We start from the raw sequence: 25069 nt of genomic DNA, 5'->3' as shown, positions 1-25069 counted from the left end.
AGATGAGCAGGATTGAGCTTTTCCCCAAGGGCACATGGCTGGTGAATAGAGACGCCTTTCAATCCAGGAACTCTGGCTCCAAATGCATGCCTGGGACCACTGTGCTACAGTGCACCTTAAGAAGTTTACAAAGAGGAAAGTAGTGGTTTGTGAGTTTAATGTCCAGTATATATAATAACTATCAACTGAATTCACAATCATTTACTTGTGGTAACTCTAGCCACGGTAAGAGATGTTTCTTTCGACTAGAATATATCTGTTTGGTGAGTTAACATCTGATGGTTGCTTGATGGTGTTTTGACTCTTATGTCTTCAGTAAAACTAGGGAAATTATTACCTAGGAAATGCCATGTCTTTAGGAGACACAAATCTTTCAAAGAAATAGGTCCTGTGAGTTATAAGGCTCTCATAGTCTATTGACAAATATTAGAAAACCAGGTGAGGGCACAAAGAACTTTAGTTGCTGGTAATGGCTTCAGAAGTCAGGGACTCTTGAGCCGAATCTTAAAGGATGGAGAAGCTAGGTGGAAGAAAGGGGGAAAAGGCATCCTAGACAGGGAATGTTCCGAGGCCATGTGTGGGAAGGAACGCTTGGTGACCATGGAGATGTGGGAAGCTGCGGCAGCACAGACAGGGCCGGAAGCTGCGGTCACAGGAGAGGAAGTCGGGAGGAGCTGGGCTCTAAGGCCTTCGGCACTGTGCAACTAGACGGGGCTTTCTCCTGTGGGCAGTGGGAGGCGGGATTGGAGAGGACTGTCTAGTGACCATGAAAGCATCGTGGAGGCCATTGCTATTAACAGGCCAGGTTGAAGCTGCTGCAGGACTGGAGCAAAGCAGTGTCTTTGGCTATGGAGACAAAGGGATGAGCATGTGCGATGTGTGCAATTTTCTACCTTAAAAAAATAAATTTATAAGTGGAAAAGTGAACTACTGTATGTAGAAAAAGGCTAACAAACATGGCAAAGGATCACTTTTTTTTAAATTTTACTTTACGTTCTGGGATACATGTGCAGAATGTGTAGGTTTGTTACACAGGTATACGTGTGCCATAGTGGTTTGCTGCACCTATCAACCCATCATCTAGGTTTTAAGTCCCACATGCATTAGGTATTTGTCCTAATGCTCTCCCTCCCCTGTTCTCCCACCCCCCGAATCACTTATTTTAAAAGTCAGCAATAAAAATAAATTGAAACTAAATCAAATAAATTGATACTATAGAGAACAAAATAATAACAACGTAATATAGTAGTAAAAGAAAATAATAATAATAAAGAGAATAAAAGCCACTTTGGTGATAAAAGAGTAAGAAAAGTTGTAACAAAGAATCAAAGTTGATATAGTATGCCAAGACACTGTAAGAAAAAGTAATTTACAAGGACAGATTTTGAAAAAACTTAATTTTCAGCAAGTTTAAAAAATTGATAGGGCAGATAAAACATGTGAGTTCCTAATTGGAATTCTCAAATGTAGCAAATTCTATGGATCTTCATTAGAAAGGGGAGATGCAGAGGACACTGAAGGCAGGGAGCATCTCAGGTCTTGCTCCTGACAATCACGAAGGCCCAGGAGTGGTCCCCTCCACCCATGAGGCGTAATCAGTCATCCTTCTGGCTTCAGCAGTCTTGCATGCATGTACCACAAGGAGCCACTGGGTTTCTCATTTGCATGGCTACATTGGGGACCATGCTGTTCAGTGCAATCAGTAATATAGGGAGAGGAGCAGGGAGGTGAAAGAAAGAGAAGATAATGAGTTGGATTTTGAACCTCTTGAGCTTTAAATATCTAATGTTCATCTAAAGCAATATAGCCCATAGGCAGCATCTATTGGAAATTAATAAAAATAAGGGTCTAGGCATTCAGGTTAGTGGTGGGGATGGAAGAAAAGACTTGAGAGTCGTTGAAATTCTTGTGGGGAAGTCCAAAGCAACAGAGCAGAGAGAGGATTGGTAAGCGATGTGTTGGAGAAAAGATAAAAGTCGTGGAAGCAAAGGCTAGAAGCTAATATGTGTCAAGAGGAGAGCCAGAGATGGCCAGAAGCTAGCATCCATAATAGGAGAATTCAACTCATGACACTGGTTTCCTTGATTTAAGGATCTCAGACATGCGTTGGGTCCTGCTGTTGGTTGTGGCTCACAGAGATGGGGACGATGACAGCTCAGAGTTCTTTGTATCTTGGTTCCTTTTGACCAGTGTGAGCTTAAATCTAATATTTCTTTGAATCCCTAATGTTGATATCACTCAGAGTTCTTATATTCTCTCCTATGAGCATCAGTTCAAAGATAACATTATTTATTGGACTATCCATGAACACAAAGAGGGACAGAAGTTCAGAGACATTAGTGAAAGCACCTGAGCTGTCTGAATCCTCTCCAAACCTGGTAAATGATTCCTAAAAGATGAGGGAATTCAAATTCTGGCTTCTGCTGAGAATTGAATATTTCTCAAACCGCCTGATGCACAGCCCCAGCTGAGACCTAATGCAAGTATTTTGCTTAAGAGAACCCACAAATGCGAGGTGCTTCTAACAATATATGTCAAGCAGTGTGTAGCTGATGGTAGGAGTTAGATTTATGCATATTGTGGTTGTCCATTTCCAGCTGCTTTTGTGAAGTCAAACTTTTTTTATGTTAACAGATGACATTATTATCACATTTACTGGAGAATAATGAGATATGGTGGTGATACATCATTGGCAGCTCATAGTGCCATTTGAAAACATGCTTGTTTTTAAGTCTGAAATAATGGGTCAAAGAGAGAGAGGCACACTTTGGCATGTACACTCACACACACACACACACACACAGAGCTCTTAACAACTGGTCCTGAGTAGCTCTTTGTAAATTCTTTATTGCCAGGAGTGAACCCTAAAGTGGCTCACAAGAGTGCCCTATTTCTTTCAATTAACTACAAGGACAAACACATCTCAAAGTTGAGATAAGTGACCAGTATGATTTGCCAAAATTCTAAAGCGCACTCACCATGAAATGGATAAAGGTTACCTTTGGGGATTTGCACTGCATGAATTCTGTGAAAAGCTTGTTGGATATTGTGATAGAGATAGAGAAATGAAGTATATTATATAAGATACTATGAGGTTCCCTGCCTTTGCTTCACATCCCAGGCTTACAAACGTGCCCCATAAACATTCCCTCTGTGGCTCTTGCATTTCATATATTTATCTAAACTCTTATAATCAAATTACACTTTTAGTATTTGCTGTCTCATGTGATGATGAATCTCATATGTGTCCCTTCTTTGCATGAAGTAAGATAGTCAACTTATTCAAAACTTTACATCATTCTAGATTTAAGAGACAAGGAAGAGCTTCTCAGGCAGAAGGAATAATGTATGCCTGACATGTTCAAGGAATTACAAGTTAGATTTTGTTTAGGTGCATGGGAGGGGTTGATGGTGATGACAGATAAGGCTGGAGGGATGGGGAGAGGCTGTGGCTGTATACAGCCTCAGTACAAGGCTAAGCATTTTAACTTTATACTGGAAAAAAAATCAAACAAAGGGGAGGGATAAAGGACTTAGTCATCTTTGCACTGGAAAACAAAATATGTAATTAAATTCCCATAGCTGCATGTAACATTGAATTCTTCCAGGTTAAAAAAAAAAGTTAATCCTGTGATATTAATGGAATGACATTTTGAGGTCTTGAGAATGGGCACAAAAGTGGGAAATGAATTTCAGTATGGGCAAAGACACTGAGGATGATGTTGATTAGATAATTCACTCCGTAATGATCATGCTGTGTGCTAGTAAGTATAACCCTGGAAAGATCTTGAGATGCTTCCCAGCCTGTTCACAGATCCCCTGGGCCAGAACACTCCTTAGGAAAAACAGTCAGCTACATATTAGGCAGCAACACGAAGGGTCTTTGAACAAAATGAGTAATGTTATTCTACAGTGTAGAAAGGTCACAGTACAGATCTGGGAACTAAATATTAAAAATGAGTGTGGCTGGATATATGGAGAATGTTGGGCCCAGAAGGAACCGTAGAGATCAGATATTACAACAGCTTTGTTTTGAGGGTTAGAAATATGAAATGATTTGGTTATGAACGCACAGTTTAGGCAGCAGGGCCAGAATCCTGACCCTCTGCCCCGTGGTTATCTCCTCCCCAGCTTGGCTGCCTCATGTCATCACAGTATTCCATTTTGTTTGTTGCATGTCTTGTGAAGCCATCAAGATTTTCTCGTCTGTTTTCCTCTCATTGGTAATGCTCACTTTGTGACTTCATTTCAAATCTGTAATCCCGTTCAAATAAATATCCACAACAGGATCTGTTTTCCTGCCCATCCTTTAAGGAACACATCAATTCATTTTCTAATGTCCTTCCCTCACAAGCGGGACCAGGCACAGGGCGAGGCTCATCGATGACCCAAGATGGCGGCCGGGCATTTCTCCCAGGGATCTGTGAAAGTGGAGGACAAATATGGAGGGACGGAGGTGAGCCCGGGTAGAAAATCCAGACTCCGTGAGGATAAATCCAAGTGAGCCAGTCAGACAATACGAGGCAAGAAATAGAAAATCGGTAGTGGATTCCGGGAGGACAGTGAGTAGGAAGGATAGAAACGAGTAGAGGAACTTAAGGCCATCAAAAATTTCTGAGTAGAAATTGAGTGCTTTATAAAGCACTTACCTCTGTGCTTCCTTTTGTGCTTCCTGTGTGTGTGGATATTTAAAGGGGCTGGAAATGTGCAAAAACATGTCACTACTTAGACATTATATTGTCATCTTGCTGTTTCTAGTGATGTTAATTATCTCCATTTCAGCAGATGTGTGGCCTCAGATGGTAAAGTCAGCAGCCTTTCTTATTTCTCACCTGGAAATACATACGACCATTTGAGGAGACAAATGGCAAGGTGTCAGCATACCCTGAACTTGAGTTGAGAGCTACACACAATATTATTGGTTTCCGAGCATCACAAACACCCTCTCTGTTTCTTCACTGGGCACAGAATTTTAATACTTATTTCAGTGGGCTGTTGGCAGGAACAAATGAAGCAATCTACATAAAGTCACTAGTGCAGTGCCTGACACACACCATTCTCTTGAGGTCCCCTCTAGAGATCCCACAGGTCATATGACTTCTTGGGGAGCAGTGGCTCACACCTGTAATCCCAGCACTTTGGGAGGCTGAGGCAGGTGGGTCACCTGAGGTCAGGAGTTCAAGACCAGCCTGGCCAATATGGTGAAACCCCATCTCTACTAAAAATACAAAAATTAGCTGGGCGTGCTGGTGCATGCCTGTAATCCCAGCTACTTGGGAGGCTGAGGCAGGAGAATTGCTGGAACATGGGAGGCGGAGGTTGCAGTGAGCTGTAATTGTGCCATTGCACTCGAACCTGGGCGACAGAGTGGAACTCTGTTTCCAAAAAACAAACAAACAAAAAAAGGCATAGTCAGATACAACTGATGTTAATCAAGTGTCTGCTTTGTGGTTCAGTGCCTTTCTGTTTAATCACCACAATACCTACTATGTGGACTGTTTTGGGCACTTTAAAAGAAACCTAAGGAAAATGACACGTAACATGGGGGAGGCTAGAAGAGATCTTAAAGATTGTCTAATTCATAGACACCAATCTAAGACCCAGGACATTTGCAGAGGGTACACAGCTAGCGAATAGCAGGTATATGGTTAAAGGCCAGCACTTCTGGCTTCTGGTCTATTCTTCGTTCTACCATGTAACTCACCCCTGCCATTGAGATGTCTGTAGTCTTTCTTTGCTGCACTGAGTACTCAGAAAGTGCCGTCGATGGTGATCCAGCCCTGTGTCACTGAGGAGACTCACAGCGGACTAGCTCTTCACTTATTTATCTTGGTGTTCATTGAAACACTAAGTATATGTGTTGTAATTCCTTAGGACATAGAACAGTATTATCCAAGAAACTCTGCGCTTATAACTCCAAAATTTTATTTTTATTAGCAAAGTATTTACATGGAACTTAACATATGGCTGGGACTCTTTGAAGGATTTTACAAAAATTAACTCATTTAATTTTTAGAAGAACTCTGTAAAGAAGATGCTGTAGTTGTCTTCATGTTTCAGATAAACAAAGTGTGGCACAGAGAGAATAACTTTCCCAAGGCTGTAAAAATATGAAGAAGCAGAATCTGGCCCTAGCGTTCATGGTCTTAACTACTCCACTGACCTGCCTCTCAGAAATTATCAAAAATGCTGACTGTTCCTCCCCAGAAAGCACATTCTTTCATTCATTCATTCTTTCCCTTTCTGAGAGTTGTGTCACTTCTCTTCCAAGTGGCCTGTAGACCATTTAGGCTTTCCCAATGCTTTCTTTTTTTTCTTTTTTTGAGATGGAGTCTCGCTTTGTCACCCAGGCTGGAGTGCAGTGGCACCATCTTGGCTCACTGCAAGCTCCACCTCCCGGGTTCATGCCATTCTCCTGCCTCAGCCTCCCCAGTAGCTGGGACTACAGGTGCCCACCACCACGCTGGGCTAATTTTTTGTATTTTTAGTAGAGATGGGGTTTCACCGTGTTAGCCAGGATGGTCTCAATCTCCTGACCTCATGATCCACCTGCTTCGGCCTCCCAAAGTGCTGGGATTACAGGCGTGAGCCACCGCGCCCGGCCAGGCTTTCCCAATGCTTTCTATGTCTCTGATTACCTTGCCTACCTGTATTCTGACTCCAACATCTCCATTCATTTTGCTGTACACGTTGGTTATAGGAAATTAGAGTCCAGCAGGATGAAAGGTGAAATACCAAGACATTCACCGTTAACTCATTCACCAACACTATATGCTATGTGCTAGGTACGAGGAACATAAGGAACTAAAATACACATAATTCTTATCCTCTTGGAGCTTTCAGTTTAGTCAGGAAGCAAGACATTAAACAAGTAATCATGCATATAAATGTAGATTTCAAACTAATTTAAGTGCTATGAAGAAAATGATTGGATGCTGTTATAAGAAAATGTATATAACCTATTTTACATTAGATAGGGAGGTGTGTAAGTTCTCCAAAGAAAGTAATTTTTAAGTTTATAAACCAAGCATATACAATATAGGCCAGGAAAGGACTAGGGGTAAGAGCATTCCAGGCAAAGGGAACAGCAGTGCAAAGGCTCTGAAGTGGGAAATAGGTCGGCACATTCAGGAAACTGAAAGAAAATTCATTAGAAACTGCATGTGTCATAGTGAGTGTAGGGGAGGGAGTGGCATGGCTGGAGAGGTGGTGGGATCAGATCCTTCAAGCCCTCCCAGGCCAGAGTGAACACTTCAGACTTTATTTTAAGTTCAAGGGAAGCCACTGGAGGATTATAAAAAGGATAGGGATGTGGCAAAGAGTTAATGGAAAGCAGGTAACAATGCAAATAAAGAGATGGGTTAGCGGCTGCCTTCATAGACCATGGGAGAGGTGACCATGGTTTGAAGTAGGATGGGGGCAGTCAAAATGTAGTAGAAAAATTCAAGATACATTTTTATAGATATTTAATATATCTAATTTATTTAAGTAATAACCAATAGGATGTGTTGATGGACTGGCTATGGGGACTAGGGAGGAAAAAATGTCATGGATTATTCTCAGGTACGTAGCATAAAAACTTGGTGGATGTCCTAGACCACTTTCTCAGATGGGAAACACACGGGGATGAGGGTTGCAGGCACACCCTAGGTTGCAGCGTAGCCTGCGTGGTCCTGGGCAGATCCCCACCTGGGCATCTCCCGATACGATGGAGGAGCTGGCTCCTCATTGGTTCTCAGTAGCTGTCTTTGTGGGAAACACCTACCACATCTGAAAACAAAAACAAAAACAAAAACAAAACCCTCTTGCTGCTTGTTTTTGTTTGTTTGTTTGTTTGTTTGTTTTTGAGACGGAGTCTTGCTCTGTCGCCCAGGCTGGAGTGCAGTGGGGCGATCTCAGCTCACTGCAAGCTCTGCCTCCTGGGTTCACGCCATTCTCCTGCCTCAGCCTCCCGAGTAGCTGGGACTACAGGCACCCGCCACCATGCCTGGCTAATTTTTTGTATTTTTTTTTATTAGAAACAGGGTTTCACTGTGTTAGCCAGGATGGTCTTGATCTCCTGGCCTCGTGATCCGCCCGCCTCGGCCTCCCAAAGTGCTGGGATTACAGGCGTGAGCCATCGTGCCTGGCCGCTGCTTGGTTTTAAATGAATCTTGGATACAGGTGGCCAGACTAAATGGTCTCTCAACTTGTCTTCAAGTTTAGGATTTTAATTTTTGATATTTTTCACTTCTCTCTGGAAATTTGTTCAATTCTCAATTGTTGGGGGAGTGCGCAGCTGCTTCATTATGAGTTTACTGGCTGATAATCAAATAAATATAGAAAATATAATTGGGTCATGTAGCTATCGCTAACCAGTTTTAAAAAATATGTACTTCTTGGATCTTACATAGGCCTGAAAGTTTAGTTGCACTACTTTAGGAATCTCTTTTTATGCATTTGTTCAATTAAAAGGCAACAAAGACAAATCCTTAAGAAAATACCAGTATTTTTCCTACATATGAAATCAAGGGTCCTTGTCTGACGATGGATTTTACTAGTTACGAGAATCTTCCTATATTTCTAGTTGAATCCCTGTCATTTCCTGTAATAGACTTATATTTTACCAGCAGCCCTTATGCGATTTCTTTGTGAAAAATATTTCTCTGTATAGAGGAAAGTTTATCATTTGGAATGTTAAATGCAATTATATTGACATATGGTGATAATGGGACAAAGCATACGGGTTAAAGGTTGCAGGAACCATGGCTTGGCAATTAGCGATGTAAATGAAACATTCATTATCCATCATGCTGAGAAGTTGATGAACTGTACAGTAAATCTGAGCCCACAGTCAGGACTGAGATAAGTCATTTCAGACAATACAGTGGAGAATTTATGAGCACCAGGGACAATGTTTCAGATTCCTGTCATGGAGGTTTCTTTACCTATTTAGTTGAATAAAGACCTTATAAAGTCCAAGCCACAATGCTGTCCTTCCACAGGAATAAATATGAGATTCTAAAACTTTCTCTTAAAATGAACCATTTTGAGAGCTAAAGTGACTAGATGTTGACAGCCACCATTTTTCATAAGTGCATCCCATAAGAAAGATGTACTATAGATTATTTGTCTTGAAGAAGAGCTTTGATATGTTTCAAAATTCGACGTTGGCTTTGGAAGGAAACTGTAAATTTACAGATCTTTGTCCTTCCCCACAAAGAGCCTTAATCTCACAGGTTGGATTATGTGGAACTCACTGCTATTTTTCAGTTCTCCTTTAAGTGACTAAGGAACATCCAGATACTTCCAAAAAAAAAAAAAAGTCTAAGTTTTTCACTTTGTCCATTGCCATTTAATTATCTTCTGCATATTTTAAAGCATTTCCTGTGAACATAAGTATTGCCCATCCAGAAAATTTGCGTCTACATTGATTTTATGTTTAATGAAACCTGTTCTTCTCAAGTTCTTTATTTAATCACATAACATAGTATCTTCAAAGGTGAGATAAAAAAATCACTGGAGAAATGTTAAAACTTCATTTATTTAAGATGACTAGTGATGCAGCTAGCAAACCCAAGAAGCCAACTGGAATGGAAATGCTCAGTGGTGCTCAGCCATTACCCAGGACCAGAGATTCCTTTGTTAACAGTTCAATTTGTTGAGGCACAAGTGAGGATAAATTGGGCCATGACAAAACTATGAGATTGAATGATAATCATAGTAACATCTGACATATATTAAATTTGGTGTTATGCCATTTCTCAGTTCCACCAAATGTACTAATCTGGGCATTGTTCTAGGCACCTGAAATAAATTATCTCAATTCATCCTTCAAATAACCCAGTGAAGTAGATCATACTATATCCCACTTTATAGATCATACTGTGTATCCCATTTTATGGATGGGGAACCTGAGGCTCAGAGATGAGAAATGATCATCCAATCATCCACATTCACTCAACTAGTAAACAATTGGGCTAAACTTCAGCTCCAGCTCCATGCAATTCCAAGTCCTCGTTGAACCACTTTGTTATTGAGCTTGCTCCAACTGATCTCCTGTGTCTCTGGCCATCCCATCGTTTCAGTAGTGCCCCAGTTTGAAAGTCCACTTCATCATCAGGCATCCAGTGCCTTCCAGCCTTTAATTGTCTCCTATCAAACTGGAAACAATTAGTCTGAGAAAATCATCCATGCCAGTGAATTAATTTATTGAATTTGTTGTCCTGTGTCTTTCTGTGAGGGTGAAAGGCTGTATTTGTGCCATAAGAGAATGCTGGCTGTCTCTAGAAGAGCTGAGGGAAAGGTTGAATGAGATCAACGCCTGGCTCTTACAATGGCCTGCAGCAGTCTTCCTCAGCCTTGACTTGCCTAGGAAACTTGCAAACATCAGATTCTCAAGTCTACCTCCAGAGATTCTGATTTAATCACTCTAGGCTGGGACCCAGTCATTGGTATTTTTTAAAAGCTCCTTAGAATAAATCTAATGTGCAGCCAAGGTTGGGAACCTCTGGATGGAAAATACATGATTTGGTCCCCTCTAACCTCACCTACTGTTTATTATCCTTCCACCTCCCACTGCTATAGACATGCTGTCTTCCTTGCTTTTCCTAGAACACAGCAAGCATGCTTTTGCCTCAGGGACTTTGTACCTGCTGTCCCCTCTCTGACTAGAAAACAGTTTCCCTAGATACCTGCATAGTTAGCCCCCTGAACTTATTTCAATTCTCTGCTCAAATGTCATGTAAATGGTGACATCTTCCCTGACCATCTTATATAAAATAATACTTCCCTTTCCCCTGATATTCTCTATCCACCTTATCCTGTTTGATTTTTCTGCACTGCCCCATCAACCATTGACATATAACATGTCTACTTGTTTATATATGTATTGTGTTTCACCAGCATTGAAATGTGACTTTCACGAGGGTAGGGATTTTTGTCTGTTTTATTTAATACTGTATCCCCAAGAATGCCTTGCATAAATTGGGACTAACAAATATTTATTGAATTGAATAAATGAATACATTTGGGAAGGCGCAAAGGAGTCCTTGCCCCTGAAATTCATTTCTTCAGTCAGCCAGCAAACTGTATGGAGTGACATCTGTGTGCTGAGCTCAGAGCTCTGTGCCTGGGATAGCATTTTACAGAGCATGGTGGGCATGGCTGGCCAGTGCTCCTGCTTACTTCGATTTTCTGCCTTCCCACCATTCCTGTGCTTATTATATTCTTTCTCAGAAGACTTTTTCCCCACTGTTGAGAACAGGGCAGTCTGAGAAGCCTCCCTACTAAAACTGAGGTTGGCACCCCTCTCCTACTTCATTGTGGAATCCTGGAATGGTCTTTCTTACCCTTTGTCCCTAGCAGTTTCACATGCTTTGGGTCATTGCATTTCTTCCCTTCTCTGCCCTCCCCCACTTCTCTCCTTCAAACAACATCATCTCTCAGCAATATACAACCTCAAGGGCTATGGGGCAGGGGAGAAAGAAGGGCCCAAGAGGAAGCTACCCTGATGGCATTGGTGCAGTGGCAGATGTGGGAACCCAACCCAAGAGGAACAGTTTAGGAGTGCCGAGAATCTCCGCTGAGTGGAAGAAAGGTCCAGGCCCTTTGTGTGTGTGTGTGTGTGTGTGTGTGTGTGTGTGTGTGTGTGTGTGTGTGTGTATGTGTTTTGGTAATGAGAAAGAAACTCAAGAGAAAGCTTCATGTATCTTCAAACATACAAAAAAAAAAAAAACTGCTGGCTGGACACAGTGGCTCATAACTTTTAATCCCAGCACTTTGGGAGGCTGAGGTGGGTGGATCATTTGAGGTTAGGAGTTCGAGATCAGCCTGGCCAACATGGTGAAACCCCATCTCTACTAAAACTAGAAATACTAGCTAGGCATAGTGGCGGGCACCTGTAATCCTAGCTACTTAGGAGGCTGAGGCAGGAGAATTGCTTGAACTCGGGAGGCGGATGTTGCAGTGAGCCGAGATTGTGCACTGCACTCCAATTTGGGCAACAGAGCGAGACTCATCTCAAAAAAAAAAAAAAAAGAAAAAAGAAAAAAAAAAAGAAAATGTGGTGTAAATGTATACCGTGATATACTACTCAGCTTTTGCAGCAATATGGATGGAACTGGAGATCATTATCCTATGTGAAATAATTCAAAAATGGAAAATCAGATACCACATGGTCTCACTTGTAAGTGGGGGCTAAACAGTGTGTACACATGGACACAGAGAGTGAAATAATAACATCGGAGAGTCCAAAAGGTGGGAAGGCGGGAGGGTGGTAAGGAATGAAAAATTACCCATTGGGTACAATGTCTGCTATTCAGGTGATGGCTACACTAAAAGCTCAGACTTCACCACTACTCAATATCCATGTAACAAAACTGCACTTGTACCCCCTAAAATTTACAAAAATTTAAAAAATTTCATTTGTGCTTACTGTCTTTACTGAAATGTTAAATATTTACTCATGAGTTGATTACTCTGTGCACGTGAGATTGTCTTTTGTAGTTATAAAGAAGGGATGCTTAGAAGTAGTATCAGTGTTCTTTCTTATTCCTATCCCTCCCAAATCTCACACCAGAAAATGCTGGAATTTTTTGGAAGGAAATAGAGAAGAGTGGAATTAGGTTTAGGGATGTGTAGTCATAGGAGGAGGGGAGTAATGGAAGTTATAGAAATGGTGGTACTTGGTGTTGGTCCGAGCTAAAGGCTAGAGAAGGATGTGTTAGAAATGGGCCTGCATAGCCGGCATGAAGGCCGGGTGAGCAATCCTTGTGCTTTTTCTGGGAGAGGTAAGGCCCAAGAGAATTTGCCTGAAATGGGATGATGTACAACTATTTTCACATCCAAGAAAATTTGAGGAGTTCTAGGGCAAATGTAAAGAGATAACATTCCTTGCATACCTGAAGAGAAGAAATATGGACAGACTGAGAAAATGATTTTTAAAATGACAAAATAGGCTGGGCAGAGTAGCTCACACCTGTAATCCCAACACTTTGGGAGGCTGAGGCAGGCAGATTGCTTAAGCTGAGAAGTTTGTGACTAGCCTGGGCAGCATAGCGAGATCCCATCTCTACAAAAAAAAACCACAAAAATTAGCTGGGCATGGTAGTGCATGCCTGTAGTCCCAGCTACTCTGGAGGCTAAGGTGAGAGGATCGCTTGAGCCTGGAAGGTCAAGGCTGCAGTGAACTGTGATCGTGCAACTGCACTCCAGGCTGGGAGACAGAGTGAGACCTTGTCTCAAAAAAAAAAGACAAAGTACAAAATGGTCCTCTGAGAATATTGTTCCTCTTTGTCATTGCAAAGAGATGCATTCTAGCTGGATGTTTTCATTTATACTCCCAAATTCTAAGACTCTTGTTTCTCCTCCAGTGTTTCACACAGATGGTTAGTGAAAAAGTCCTTTCTTTCCCCCCGACCAAATAAACTTGATTTTCTGTCTGGTCCTATTCGGTTCAGCTTAGCAAGTAACAGGGCAAATTTTTTTTCTTCTTTGGGACTTGAAGTATGGTGTTTTATAATTCACTGAGTGATTACAGAGTGCCCAGAACTTTATGTAAATTATTTTTGTTTCTCATAACTCATCTGTGTAGTAGATATTAGTGTTCCCATTACATAGATGAGGAAATAGAAGCTCAGCAACAAAAAGTAATTCATAGCTGGTAACAGAATTTGAACTCATGTTTTTCTGTCTCTAAAATCTACAATCTTTTCACTACTCAAAGGTGCTAAAGCTCCCCTGTTTCCTCCATATTTAACTTTCTTTAAATCATTATTTTATTCTGGTTTAAAGAATTGGGTCGGGCCTAGTGGCTCACACTTGTAATCCCAGCACTTTGGGAGGCCGAGGTGGGTGGATCACCTGAGGTCGGGAATTCGAGACCAGCCTGACCAATATGGTGAAACCCCATCTCTACTAAAAGCACAAAAATTAGCTGGGCATGATGACATACACCTGTAATCCCAGCTACCTGGGAGGCTGAGACAGGAGAATTGCTTGAATCTGGGAGGTGGAGGTTGCAGTGAGCCGAGATCGTGCCACTGCACTCTAGCCTGGGCAAGAAGTGAGACTCCATCTCAAAAAAAAAAAAAAAAAAAAAAAAAAAGGGTTGAACTGGAGGCCAGGAACGATGGCTCATGCCTCTAATCCCAACACTTTGAGAGGCCAAAGCAGGTGGATTGCTTGAGCTCAGGAGTTCAAGACCAGCCTGGGCAACATGGTGAAACCCCATCTTTACAAAAAAATACAAAAAATTAACTGGGCATGGTGGTGCACACCTGTAGTCCCACTTACTCAGGGGGGTCAGGTGGGAGGATCGCTTGAGCCTAGGAGGTTGAGGCTGCAGTGAGCTATGATTGTGCCACTGCACTCCAGCCTGGGGGATAAAGTGAGACCCTGTGTCAAAAAAATATTTTTTTAAAATTAAAAAATAAAAAAGAATCAAACCTATTCTTTTCCCTCTACTCTGCCCAAGTTTTCAAGTAAATAATCTAATTATTATTTGAAATGACCCAATTAAGTTTAAAAATACCTGTCCTTTCCTAGCCCTGAAGACTTAAAATAGATCTACTGTCTTCTAAGAGTCATTTCGTTTAGTTTTCACTTGCTCCTTCTCTTTATAAAGGAGTCTCATTTCTCTACCTGCTTTATTCCATCAATTACTTTCCACCTTTTTTCTGTGGGGTTATTTTTACCAAAATTAACACATGGGGTCTCCTAAGTAAGTTTCCTTGTTGAATTCCCTTTACCAGTTGAAACATAGAACAGGGAAAAAAACATTCTTACATTACTGCACCTACATAAGATGTACTTGGCCGGGTGCGGTGGCTCACGCCTGTAATCCCAGCACTTTGGGAGGCCGAGTCAGGTGGATCACCTGAGGTCAGGAGTTCGAGACCAGCCTGGCCAACATGGCAAAACCCCTCCTGTACTAAAAGTACAAAAATTAGCCTGGCTTGCTGGCAGGTGCCTGTAATCCCAGCTACTCAGGAGGCTAAGGCAGGAGAATCCCTTGAACCCGGGAGGTGGAGGTTACAGTGAGCCAAGATTGCACCACTGCACTCCAGCCTGGGCGACAAGAGCGAGACTCTGTCTCAAAAAAAAAAAAAAAAAAAAAAGATGTACTAGTGTGTATGTGATGTGACTGCGGGATGAATGTATTACAGGAAGCCAGATAACATGAATAAAGAAAAGATTGTCCGCTATAAATCAACCTTTCTTCCCATTCTTCATTCTGGTATTCTCCCAGGGTTTACAGAAATTTCTATTTCTTCAATGAAAAGGATTTGGAAGTAACATGGCCTGTTTATTGCATTCCTTCTCAGTCAGTGCACACAGTAATTCAAAGTTTTTCCTTAAGCTGGATGAATCCCAACAACAACAAAAGACCGCTTTGGTGAAGTAAATTTAACTTGGGAAATAAGCATGAACTTAAAGTAATATAAAGTAGGGGAAGCTGGTAGGATCTCAGGTTATAAATTTCAATGTAAGAAATTATATTGTTGATTTGATTTTTGTTTCTAAATACAAATTGTTCCTTTTCCCAGGTGGCAAGGTTTTGGAGGAAACATACATTTTTCCTGTTGAAGGAAAGGAGCAAAAAGTGACTTGGTTGGGCTTCCCAACTTCTGTTAAAGCCACTTAATTTTTTGAAATCCATGTGTGACTGTCTGTCAATAATTTACATAGTCAGGCTGGGTACAGTGGCTCATGCCTGTTAATCGCAGCACTGTGGGAGGCCAAGATGGGAGGATTGCTTGAAGCCAGGAGTTTGAGACCAGCCTGGGCAACATAGTGAGGCTCTGTCTCTACAAAAAATTAAACAATTAGCTGGATACAGCCGTGTGTGCCTATAGTCCCAGCTACTGGGGAGGCTGAGGTGGGTGGATTGCTTGAGTCTGGGAGGCCAAGGCTACAGTGAACTGTGATTGCACCACTACGTTCCAGCCTGGGGGACAAGCAAGACCCTGTCTCTAAAAAAAAGAAAGAAAATAATTTACCATGTTCACAAGTTGCAGTTAACCTTGTCCATGGGAGGAGACTTTTGCAAAACTACAGAAGGTTATTTTTGGTTTCCTTTAAGAGTTTGCTTAGAGCTTGGAGACAGACAGTTCCCAGAGTTTCAAGACTACGTAGCAAGTGATTGGTTATGCCCCAACCTATGTATTGCTGTGGTTGCATAGCCCCCAAAATGACTATTGCCATTTAAAAAAAAAATTAAAATAAATATTTTTGACAAAATAATTGTAACTATTGAAGAGTCCATCCCTGAGAAAGCCACACCATACCAGTAGCTAAGAAGCTATGATCATTCTGTTATTTCCCTCTGTAGTGGGCACTGGTGTCTTCTCAAAAAGTGGTTCATTTTGGTGCCAGGATAGGATAAAAACAACGAGCAACACACAAAAAGCCCTTTTCCTTCAGCTTACAAGGGCGGAAGGGTGGCTTTCCCAGCTGACACCTTGGTTTAAAGCCAGGAGTGGAATTCCAGGATTCTTGGGTTAAAAGGTAGTTTGTGTGGAGCCACATACTCTGCTCTCGGACTTCGTATAGGCAAATTTGCTGTAGTGCAGATTTGTGTTTGGCATCTTCATGAACCCACTGAGTCCCACGCCATTAGTGTCCTCCTTGTCACAAGGTGAGCATTTCTGCTTTTTGTCAAATAAGCCAGAGTGGCTTTTCCTTTCTCACTTAGGGTGTGGTCTGCAAACCACACCTGAGTGGTTGGTGGCTTTTGTGGGCAGTACACGGAGTATAGTGGCCTCTCCCTCTGGGAAATAATTGGAAATAAAAACAGAAAGCAGTAGCAGATTCTTGGCTCTGCTCTTCAGTCAGAATGACATTTAGGTTTGGTTTTTCCTGTTTTCTGTCTTTTGCTGAATTTTTTGAAAATTCATTTACTCAATGTGTACAACTGCTTTGATGTGTACAATTTGCAGCCATTCAATACTCTGCTTAGTGTTACCCAAACACCTTGATAAAGTAGCCATTATTACCCTACCACTCCAGCAATCCCTGACCCCCGACTCACCGTAGTCTTCCTCATTGTACCTGCCTTCATGTCACATTGCTGCAGTTTGTGTCTGTCTCCTTGAGCAGGGACTCTGCTTCATAGCTCTTTCTTCTAGAAGAGTGCCCAGCATATAGTAGGACTTATTAAGTGCATGAAGAAATAATTCATATTTGACAGCTTTTGAGGACTCTGTAACTCTGAGTTTATTCGTTTTCATTTTGTTATTGTATCAGCATTAAAGAAATGCCTAAGTTGATGACCATTGAGGGATATAGTTTGGCCATTTTCTTATAAATATATTTAAGATGCAAAAACATATATTTGATCACCAGTTATCAAAATTGCAACCTTTCACATGGGAATATAATTTATATGATATTTAAATCATGTCTAGTTTCTATGATCATAATTTATATAATATTTCTTTAGAATCATTTCTGTGGCGTTTTCTGTTTTGCTAATCTTTTAGTATCTTTAGATAATTTTTTGTCGATTTCTCAAGAAGCATATCTACTTTAGCTTGCTATTTATGGTAATTTGTAGCAAAAATTTAGTAAGTGTTACAGTGTCTCTAGTTAGTTATTAGTTTATCAATTACTAATTCTTCTTTTTCAGATTTTTTGAAATTTAATTTTTGGTATCTTCCTTCACAAATTTACTTTCGCATTGATAGTTGAGATATTATCAAAGTTGAGGTACTAATCATACTGACCATTATGAGCAGTCATTTCTGGATTTCTCCACTGTCCCTTTGCTATTTGGAATGATTTTGGGCTTCACTTTCTTTATTAGGTTGACTGAGCTGCTCTTGGTTAAAAAACAAAATTTAAACTTTAAAGAAAATATCATATCAGCATTTAATTAAGTTTATTGCAAATTGTTGCAATAAACCTAGAATGCTTTCAACAGTTTTGCAGGATTTTGTTGTGGTTGAAATGTTAGTTTCATTTGGTTTACTTTTAGCTTTAATTTTAATTTTACCATAATATTTCACCAGATATTTCATAATCCATTTTAGATGAATGTCAATTTCATGAAAGGATAACATTTCAGATCCTGAGTCCTTTTCAATTTTTGAATCATATATTCATTTGAAAAAGCCATTAACATATTTTAAAAATAAGGCAATAGATTGGATTGAAAATGTGTTTTCAAAAAGAAACTTTATCACTTTAAAAAAATCCTTGATATTTTAATGCCCAAGGAATTCTCATTCCCAAAAGTATTTGGTTCAAAGTCCAGAGAAACTTAGAATAAACTTAGGTAAAATGCCTGTGTTGAAACTAAAATAAACACACTCTAATTAAATGAAAACAAGTGTAAGGGTAAAAATAATCTTCAAAGAATGTTGCCTCAAATGAAGTCAAAAAGTTTTACTATAAATGTTATAGTAAAATTAACAAAAATGAGTTTTTAGTGACTGAAGAATTGTGGTGAATACATTTTTGGTGCATTAACAATAATAAATTGGCAAGGTCCTGATATTCTGGGAGGATATCTGCATTAGGTTATGATGCTAATAAATTTTATGTTTTTAATCCTAAGAAATGGACTTCACTGCTCTTGTCTAGTTAATCTTTATAATACATTTTCAGGATTGTTTTCAATTTAATTATTTGAAACATAAACATTTACTTTTTTATTTTAAAGTATTTTTGAGAAACTATGACAGAATGTTCAGGGTAATTTTAATTGCTACCGCTTTTTTGAAAGTAATCCAGAAATGTTGATTTAAGTTTTTAGTTCACGTTCCCTTTTATCCAGCAAGCCTACTTTGATAAGCTCTCCTACAGAAATACAAGCATCAGAATATAACGACATATATTGAAAGTGTTTCACGCCTGTAATCTCAGCACTTTGGGAGCCTGAGGCGGGCGGATCACCTGATGTCGGGAGTTCGAGTCCAGCCTGACCAACATGGAGAAACCCCATCTCTACTAAAAATAGAAAATTAGCCGGACATGGTGGCACGTGCCTGTAATCCCAGCTACTTGGGAGGCTGAGGCAGGAGAATCACTTGAACCCGGGGGGCGGAGGTTGCGACGACGAGCCGAGATTGTGCCATTGCACTCCAGCCTGGGCAAGAAGAGCGAAACTCTTAACAACATTTTTCACTTGGAAGAAATGGAAAGCAACCTTAATGTCCATCAATAGAGGAAGGATTGAATCAATTATGATACAGCCATGCAAAGAAGTGCTACGGAGCTACTGGAAAACAGTTCAGTTATTCTGTATGTATTGACCCTGAGGGATGTCCCCAGTGTATTGAAGTAAAAAATTGTTTTAAGCTGCAGAATAGTGTGTATAATTTAATCTCATATTTTAAAGGGCAAGAGATTTATACGATCTGAAGAGAAACCAGAGTATAATAATCTCTTATTTTAAAAGCAAAGCAATAAGATCCAACCCATATATGAGTACCATAATGAAAGATTCTAAGAATATCTCTCAAACTGTCAATATTGGTTGATAAAGTCTGCATATGAGTACCATAATGAAAGATTCTAAGAATATCTCTTAAACTGTCAATATTGGTTGAGAAGGTCTGCTGAGAGGACTGGAAAGGGTCGAGTTATATATCTTTGTTTGACTTGTTAAAACAAGGCATCTATTACTACTGTAATTTAAATTTTTTATAAAGTACAGCGTTTTTGGTGGTAGGAATTATGCAAAGTAAAGACTTACAATTTCTTTTTTATTTTAATGTAGCATAGAATCCATACAGAGTCTCATACCATGCAAATGTCCAGTGATTTGTGATTAAATCATAGAAGATTCCAATTACTTGGGTGGTAAGAAATTCAAAAGAAAGTGGTCAGATTAAGGTGAGGTAAACCATAAATTATTTTCTGAAGTGAATTTTTTATGAGATGACTTCAACTTTGACAAAATTGTTGATGATCTAGTCAGCAGGGATATACACACACACACACACACACACACACACACACACACACACATACATATACATATATATATCAACCCAAAGATAAGAGACCCAGAGAACGTTCTAGGTGCGGCTGCAGACAGACTTGATAGTTGTTGAAATGGGGCCAGGAGTAGTAGCCCATGCCTGTAATCCCAGCACTTTAGCAGGCCAAGGCAGGAGGATCACTTGAGGTCAGGAGTTTGAGACCAGCTTGGCCAACATGGTGAACCCCCGTCACTACTAAAAATACAAAAATTAACTGGGCACAGTGGCGCAGGCCTGTAATCCCAGCTACTTGGGAGGCTGAGGTAGGAGAATTGTTTGAACCCAGGAGGCGGAGGTTGCAGTGAGCTGAGATCGCACCACTGCACTCCAGCCTGGGCGACAGAGCGAGAATCCATCTCAAAAAAAAAAGGAAAATCATTGACATGGAAGTACTAGTTCAAGGGCAAGGTATAGCCAAGCTTTCTGGGGAGGGGAATTAGACTTATGTGATCCTCCTCACCAGGCAGCCGTGCTGGGATGGCCAGGGAGGGATTGGTGGGGCTGGGAGGTGACAGGACTCCCTCTGACCTGCCGCTGTGATGCACGTATAGCTGGAGGGCAGTTTCCAAATCATCGAAGAAAGAACAGGGAAGATCAGAGAGATGTGAATGTACAATTATTAATACTTCCAGTCCTTGCTCTTTTACACCCAAAGTGAGGAACCAAGAGGGTTAGGAAGCCAGGGAAGATGAGAATAGCCATAGTGGGCATGGAAGGGTAATGCTGAAAACACCGAAAAGGACAGTGTTCGGATAGAAGATAGGAGCCAGTGTGCACTCCCTCCAGCTGGGTTTTTACACCCCTGGATAGACTTGTGCTGGGCAGGCTGGATTCATTTAAAGATTCACGAGAGATGCACGATATGTATTAAAACAAAATAGGGTCAAGAGATGAGGCTTTAAGGTGCCTCCTGTTAGGGGAGGAGGAAGATGAGAAGTCAACAAAGAAGGTAGGGAAACAACCATGAGAGTAGTGTCATGCAGTCACAGAAGCGAAGGTTCTGGAAAATAGTTCTTTTTCTTTTTAAAGAGGTGATCAATGGAGTCAAGGGCAAGGAAGAAGTGGAAAGCAAGGAAAATAAAGAATCTGTGCTTTTTTCTTTCTTTCTTTTTTTTTTTGAGACAGAGTTTTGCTCTTTTTGCCCAGGCTGGAGCGCAGTGGCACAATCTTGTCTCACTGCAACCTCTGCCTCCCGAGTTCAAGCTATTCTCCTGCCTCGGCCTCTCGAGTAGCTGGGATTACAGGCGTGTGCCACCATGCCCAGATAATTTTGTATTTTTAGTAGAGACGAGGTTTCACCATGTTGGTCAGGCCGGTCTTGAACTCCCGACCTCAAGTGATCTGCCCACCTCGGCCTCCCAAAGTGCTGGGATTACAGGCGTGACCCACAGTGCCTGGCCAAAGATTCTGTTTTGAATAGGTCCTTGGTGACTGCCAACAATAGTTTCAGTAGAGGAGAGAGAGTTTATTTGTTAAACAGATATTTATTCATCAGTAAGTATGTTGGAGACGCTATACCAGAATACAGCAGTGAATAAGACAGGCAAGGTTAAGATTTCACGAAGCCTACCTTCGCCTTGGGGGGAAGGTGTGGCGAGGTGGGAGAGGTAGATGATAAACAATAAATAAGGAAAATGGTCATTTTGAATAGTGATCATGTGTATGCGTTGTGTATGTGTATGCCTGTGTATGAGTTGACAGTGACAGTGGTAGGGTTGGACCGCAGAACAGTGCTTTGGAGAGAAAGCCCTCACAGAGAAAGTGATGTTTGGACTCCCTATGTGATAAGAAGCTACACATGAAAAAATCTGGGGATTGTACATTTCAGGCTGAAGAAATGGCAAATCCTAAGGCCCTAAAGCAGGAGCAAAATTGACATGTTTGAAGAAGACGAGTGTGACTGGACCTCTGTGATTGGGGGGAAGTGGCGCAGGATGAAACGAGGGAGGTATGTAAGGACCAAAACATGGAAGGAAAGCAAGATTCCCAGAAAAAGTGGATGGGAGAGGCACTATCCATGAACATGATCCAGTTGTCCAAGAAAGTTAATTTAGCAGAAAGAAATGGAATGTTAATGTTGGTTCAGATGCAGAATCTAATATGTGTTTTATTTTAAATAAGGGAGAGTTAAGCATCGTTAAAGACATAAGAAAAGAGAAAGCTGACTCCTTTTCTTCCAGTGACCATTAGTAACGTATTCTCCCACAAGGCACACAGCCACCCACTCAATGCTGTCATTAATCCCACACAGATAGGCTTTGCCTGGGGAGTGAACATATGGTATCCCCTGAAGCTTTTGTCTTTTCTGCTTGAAGCTAGTTTGTAAAAATCAAAAATGATATTGCATTTACTTTGGTATATTTCTAAAGAGTTTTTTTTTTTTTTTTGAGGCAGAGTCTTGCTCTGTCACCCAGGCTAGAGTGCAGTGGCGCAATCTTGGCTCACTGCAACCTCCGCCTCCAGGGTTCAAGCGATTCTCCTGCCTCAGCCTCCCAAGTAGCTGGGACTACAGGTGCCTGCCACCACGCGCGGCTATTTTTTTTGTATTTTTAGTAGAGACGGGGTTTCATCATGTTGGCCAGGATGGTCTCAATCTCTTGACCTCGTGATCAGCCTGCCTTGGCCTCCCAAAGTACTGGGATTATAGGCGTGAGCCACCGCGTCTGGCCTCTAACGAGATATTTCTAAAGGTTAGGCCTTCAGTCAAGAATTTTAAAGCTGGATCTTAGAGGTTATCTAAACTAACCTCTCCATTTCATAGATAAGGAAAGTGAGTCCCAGAAAAGCACTGGTTTGGACAAGTTCAGAAAGCTAAACAGTGACTGTGGATGTATGATTCTGTCTCTTAACTCCTAATCCAAATGTCTTCTCACTAGATAAGGCTGTGCCTTCTACATTTGAAGGCTCAAACCCCATGGATGGATGGAGGGAAGGATGGGTGGAGGGATGGATGGATAGATGGATGGATAGATAGTTTACTCATTCATTCAGTTATGCAAGAAAGATTGAGCCACCTCCCCATCAGACAGTGTGCTAATTGCTAGAATGCAATTATGAGAGCTGTTTATAGTGCCTGTCTCTATTCTGTATGCCTTCCTTACCTCAGTTGAATCCAGGGAGGTATATAATCCCACCATTCTATTGAAACCCCTCATCAAGATCACTAGTGACCTCTGTTATCAAATATAAGGACTATTTACCTATTCTTATCTTTCTTCATAGCATTCAAAACAATTGACTACTTCCTTCTCCTTGATGTCTATTTCATCTTGGCTTCTATGGCATCGTTTTCTTCCAAATGCCCCCCACCTGCTGGAAGCTCTGTTTCTGTTTCCTTTGCTGGCTCCTCCTCTTGTGTTTAACTTCTACATGTTGGAATTCCCAGCTTGGTTCCAGCTCATTGACTTTTCTCTAACTGCATGTCCACTCTAAGTGGTTATATGTTAATGTCACGCCCCCAACAAATGTACATCTGCTACTGAACTCAAAACGTATATCTCTAACTTGCCTGCTTGATATCTCCATTTAAATATCTAATGGGTATCTCAAATTTAACATGTGCTAAACAGAACCTTTGACTTTTTCTCTAAATCTGCTCTGCATCATTCTTCTCTCTCAGTATAGTTAGTCAGCAACATTAAACAAGTGTCTTCTATGTGCCAGAGTCTGTTGTAGACATTGGGGTTACAGTAGTGATGAAACAGACAAAAATCTCTAATATCAAGTACCTTCCATTCCAGTGGAGGGAGAAGGATCATGGAAGCCAAGCAAATAGCTTGTTCACTCCAAAAAGGCCTAGGCCCAGCCACCACCTCTCACCTTAACCATTGCAATAACTTAACTGGTGTCCCTGCTCCTACCCTTCTGCTGTCCTATCAACACAGCAACCAGAGTAATTTGTATAAAACACAAATATAACAGAAACACAAAACCTCTTCCCCAACTTTAAACCTTCTAGTCACTTCCCATAGCTCTTTGAATAAAATTCCAAACCCATTCCCATGGCCTACAGACCTCTGTATCATCAGGTCCTTCCCACCATGCAGATCTTCCTGGTCTCCCTCGGCTGCAGCCACACAAATCTCCCCTCTGTTTTTCTGATGCCAGCTTCTCGGCACTTGCTATTTCTTCTGTCTGGAACACTCTGACTTCAGAATATGAAAGCAGGTGGCCACTCCCATCATGCAAGAATGCCAACCCACATACAACCATACCATTTCTCAGATTTCCCAGTTTAAACCTTCCTTCTGTCTCATCATGCTCCTTCCCGTCACACTATGTTGACACGTTGCTATTAAAAATTATCTTATTTATTTATTTATTTATTTATTTGTTTGTTTGTTTTCTGCCTCCATGCACTGAAATGCAGCTCCATGAGAGCAGTGACATGTCTGTCTTGTTGGCTCCTATATCACTGGTGCCTAGAACAGTGCCAGAAACACAGGAGTTGTTCAGAAGTATTTGCTCTGTGAATCAACGAATCAATGAATGCATTGTGAATGAGGTTATTGGTCCTACCCTTGCCCAACAAATAATCTTTTAACCCTAACGAAGTTGAGATCCACAGGTCAATTCCTAAGGTGCTCCTCTAGTGAAGTCTTGTCCAAATGTGAGTTCCCATCTTTACTAATATCTTTCAAACAGTGTAACTCAATCGAAGTGCTTAGTCCATGGCAACTCATTAAATTTCCTTTCCTCTTTTATTTATTGACTCATGGGCACCTCTCACTGTCTAAACACAGAAGAAAGCTCCCTCTTCCCCATGCTTCCCCATGCCCTTTATCCCACTCCCTCTTCCCCACTACCCCTCTCCTTCTCCATATTGGGCCTCCCAGCACTTCCTGTCACTGCCATACCATTCTCCTCCCCACCTGCTCTTCTGCAGTATCCACCAACGTGGCTTTTAATCTCTCAGTCCTCAGAGAGCACAGGAGAGGCAAGGAAGCTAAATAGACGACACCAGATCCTCTCTTGGGGACGGGGGATATGAAACTTCATCTGTTCATTACTTTTGTGTCATCCCAGTTCATTGGTAGAACTGGGCAAGTACACCACCAGCTTGTGTTTGAAGTGGTATTACGAGTATGTTTTCTCCAGGAGAG

At 41.2% G+C, this 25069-nt stretch overlaps 1 protein-coding gene and 1 long non-coding RNA gene across 37 annotated transcripts in view, besides 3 other annotated features; one reads left to right on the top strand and one right to left on the bottom strand.

The window, feature by feature from the left end:
• The window catches only part of PRUNE2 (prune homolog 2 with BCH domain), a 294739-nt gene that overhangs the window by 117578 nt on the left and 152092 nt on the right, over positions 1-25069 (top strand). The window lies entirely within an intron of this gene.
• Positions 209-708: an enhancer, noted in NCBI's record as "H3K4me1 hESC enhancer chr9:79402745-79403244 (GRCh37/hg19 assembly coordinates)". NCBI's record gives its function as "activates a minimal SCP1, AML or CMV promoter by ChIP-STARR-seq in naive H9 embryonic stem cells {active_cell/tissue: H9 hESC(naive)}" and the evidence as "EXISTENCE:reporter gene assay evidence [ECO:0000049][PMID:30033119]".
• Positions 709-1210: an enhancer, noted in NCBI's record as "H3K4me1 hESC enhancer chr9:79402243-79402744 (GRCh37/hg19 assembly coordinates)". NCBI's record gives its function as "activates a minimal SCP1, AML or CMV promoter by ChIP-STARR-seq in naive H9 embryonic stem cells {active_cell/tissue: H9 hESC(naive)}" and the evidence as "EXISTENCE:reporter gene assay evidence [ECO:0000049][PMID:30033119]".
• On the bottom strand, positions 968-24101 carry PCA3 (prostate cancer associated 3). Of its 3 annotated transcripts, NR_132312.2 has the most exons (4): positions 23982-24099; positions 5705-5869; positions 4650-4832; positions 968-4421 (listed from the first exon to the last, which is right to left on the bottom strand). It is a non-coding gene; the product is annotated as a prostate cancer associated 3 (long non-coding RNA). The 3 variants fall into 3 exon arrangements; NR_015342.2 differs by lacking the exon at positions 5705-5869 and having other exon boundaries at positions 23982-24101; NR_132313.1 differs by lacking the exon at positions 5705-5869 and having other exon boundaries at positions 4650-4697; positions 23982-24101.
• Positions 3901-5100: an enhancer, noted in NCBI's record as "CDK7 strongly-dependent group 2 enhancer chr9:79398353-79399552 (GRCh37/hg19 assembly coordinates)". NCBI's record gives its function as "activates an origin of replication core promoter dependent on BRD2, BRD4, P300/CBP, MED14 and CDK7 cofactors, with strong dependence on CDK7, by STARR-seq in HCT116 cells {active_cell/tissue: HCT116}" and the evidence as "EXISTENCE:reporter gene assay evidence [ECO:0000049][PMID:35650434]".

Source organism: Homo sapiens, chromosome 9, assembly GCF_000001405.40.
Source record: "Homo sapiens chromosome 9, GRCh38.p14 Primary Assembly".
Classification (NCBI taxonomy): Eukaryota; Metazoa; Chordata; class Mammalia; order Primates; family Hominidae; genus Homo; species Homo sapiens.
This window is presented reverse-complemented; position numbering and strand designations above follow the sequence as displayed.